This window comes from Homo sapiens, chromosome 9, assembly GCF_000001405.40.
Source record: "Homo sapiens chromosome 9, GRCh38.p14 Primary Assembly".
NCBI classification, from domain to species: Eukaryota; Metazoa; Chordata; class Mammalia; order Primates; family Hominidae; genus Homo; species Homo sapiens.
In genome coordinates, this window is record NC_000009.12 from 76,954,637 (window position 1) to 76,957,276 (window position 2,640).

Here is a 2,640-nt window from a genome sequence, read left to right on the forward strand (position 1 = left end):
AAACAGCCATGTTGTTCACACAAAGCCTGTTTGGTGGTCTCTTCACAAGGACGTGCATGAAAGCCTCCAGTGGTATACTGAGTTGGTCAGGTCCCCCATTTTGTCTGCTTCCAACACCCCCAGTTCTCCTCTTTGGTGATTGAATGGTTCAGGGAAACTGGCCTTTATAAGAATTGAGAATCTCTCCCTCTCCCTCTCCCTCTCCCTCTCCCTGTCCCTCTCCCTCTCCCCACGGTCTCCCTCTCCCTCTCTTGCCACGGTCTCCCTCTGATGCCGAGCCGAAGCTGGACTGTACTGCTGCCATCTCGGCTCACTGCAACCTCCCTGCCTGATTCTCCTGCCTCAGCCTGCCGAGTGCCTGCGACTGCAGGCGCGCACCACCACGCCTGACTGGTTTTCGTATTTTTTTGATGGAGACGGGGTTTCGCTGTGTTGGCCAGGCTGGTCTCCAGCTCCTAACCGCGAGTGATCCGCCAGCCTCGGCCTCCCGAGGTGCCGGGATGGCAGACGGAGTCGCGTTCACTCAGTGCTCAATGGTGCCCAGTCTGGAGTGCAGTGGCGTGATCTCGGCTCGCTACAACCTCCACCTCCCAGCCGCCTGCCTTGGCCCCCCAAAGTGCCGAGATTGCAGCCTCTGCCCGGCCGCCACCCCGTCTGGGAAGTGAGGAGCGTCTCTGCCTGGCCGCCCATCTTCTGGGATGTGAGGAGCCTCTCTGCCTGGCTGCCCAGTCTGGAAAGTGAGGAGCGTCTCTGCCCGGCCGCCATCCCATCTAGGAAGTGAGGAGCGTCTCTACCCGGCCGCCCATCGTCTGAGATGTGGGGAGCGCCTCTGCCCTGCAGCCCCGTCTGGGATGTGAGGAGCGTCTCTGCCCGTCTGAGAAGTGAGGAGCCCCTCCGCCTGGCAGCCACACCGTCTGAGAAGTGAGGAGCCCCTCCGCCTGGCAGCCACCCCGTCTGGGAAGTGAGAAGCCCCTCTGCCCGGCCAGCCGCCCCGTCCGGGAAGGAGGTGGGGGGGTCAGCCCCCCACCCGGCCAGCCACCCCGTCCGGGAGGTGAGGGGCGCCTCTGCCTGGCCGCCCCTACTGGGAAGTGAGGAGCCCCTCTGCCCGGCCAGCCGCCCTGTCCAGGAGGTGTACTCAACAGCTCATTGAGAACAGGCCATGATGACAATGGCGGTTTTGTGGAATAGAAAGGGGGGAAAGGTGGGGAAAAGACTGAGAAATCGGATGGTTGCCGTGTCTGTGTAGAAAGAGGTAGACATGGGAGACTTTTCATTTTGTTCTGTACTAAGAAAAATTCTTCTGCCTTGGGATTCTGTTGATCTGTGACCTTACCCCCAACCCTGTGCTCTCTGAAACATGTGCTGTGTCCACTCAGGGTTGAATGGATTAAGGGTGGTGCAAGATGTGCTTTGTTAAACAGATGCTTGAAGGCAGCATGCTCGTTAAGAGTCATCACCACTCCCTAATCTCAAGTACCCAGGGACACAAACACTGCGGAAGGCCGCAGGGTCCTCTGCCTAGGAAAACCAGAGACCTTTGTTCACTTATTTATCTGCTGACCTTCCCTCCACTATTGTCCTGTGACCCTGCCAAATCCCCCTCTGCGAGAAACACCCAAGAATGATCAATAAAAAAAAAAAAAAAAAAAGAATTGAGAATCTAAATTAATGCAATTTAAACCATTGACTGTGTATGTGAGAGGAGAGAAAGACCCTCTCACATTGTTTTATATTCAGTAAAAACCACAAGGAAGTAAAACCAAGACAGGCAGCCCAGCGCCAGGCCCGAAACCAGGCCTGGGCCTGCCTGGCTTAAACCCAGTAGTTAAAAATCAACTTATGATTTAGAAGCTGATGTTATTCATAGATTCCTTACATTGTATAGAAGAACACGGTGAAACTCCCTGCGCTGTTCTGTTCCTCCCTGACCACTGGTGCGTGCAGCCCCTGTCATGTACCCCTTGCCTGCTCACATCAATCACGACCCTTTCAAGTGAAATCTTTAGTGTTGTGAGCCCTTAAAAGGGCAGAAATTGTGCACTCAGGGAGCTCAGATTTTGAGACAGTAGCTGGCCGATGCTCCCAGCTGAATAAAGCCCTTCCTTCTACAAAAAAAGAAAAAGAAAAAAGAAAACAGGATATCTGAAATTAAGACTGCAGATGGAGTAGTTTCTGAAAATGACAGGGTCCAAGGTGTGACCACGGGACCAAGTGGCTGAACTGGAATGAAGTTAAGAAGCAGTAAGGTAGGTGATTACCAGAGACCCAGCGTTAGTGCAAACAGTCTTTCTTTTCCTCTTCTGCTTAATTTTCCACAATCCCTTTACTAAAGCAAATGACTGCTTTTAAAGGAACATGTGATGACATGTATATGTTACATGGATGCCTGACGAACCTCATTTCATTCAGGATGCTAGGGTTAGGTGGGGTATGGAGGAGCCTGGGGAGCAGGGAGATGGCATGGGGCTTTTCTGCGGCAAAGCAAGAGAGCTTGAAGAAGAAATGGAGAAATCAGGGCTACTCCATCAATGTTGCCTTAAAGCCAGCCCTGGCCAATTTTCACATACTGCACGTTGAATTTGACATGCATCTGAAAGAAGTTTATAACCTAAAATGCATCAGATAAATTTGATTTCATAG

The 2,640-nt window shown here is 52.6% G+C and overlaps 1 annotated feature.

Annotated features, from left to right (window-relative positions):
* Positions 1,747-2,248: an enhancer, noted in NCBI's record as "H3K27ac hESC enhancer chr9:79571299-79571800 (GRCh37/hg19 assembly coordinates)". NCBI's record gives its function as "activates a minimal SCP1, AML or CMV promoter by ChIP-STARR-seq in naive H9 embryonic stem cells {active_cell/tissue: H9 hESC(naive)}" and the evidence as "EXISTENCE:reporter gene assay evidence [ECO:0000049][PMID:30033119]".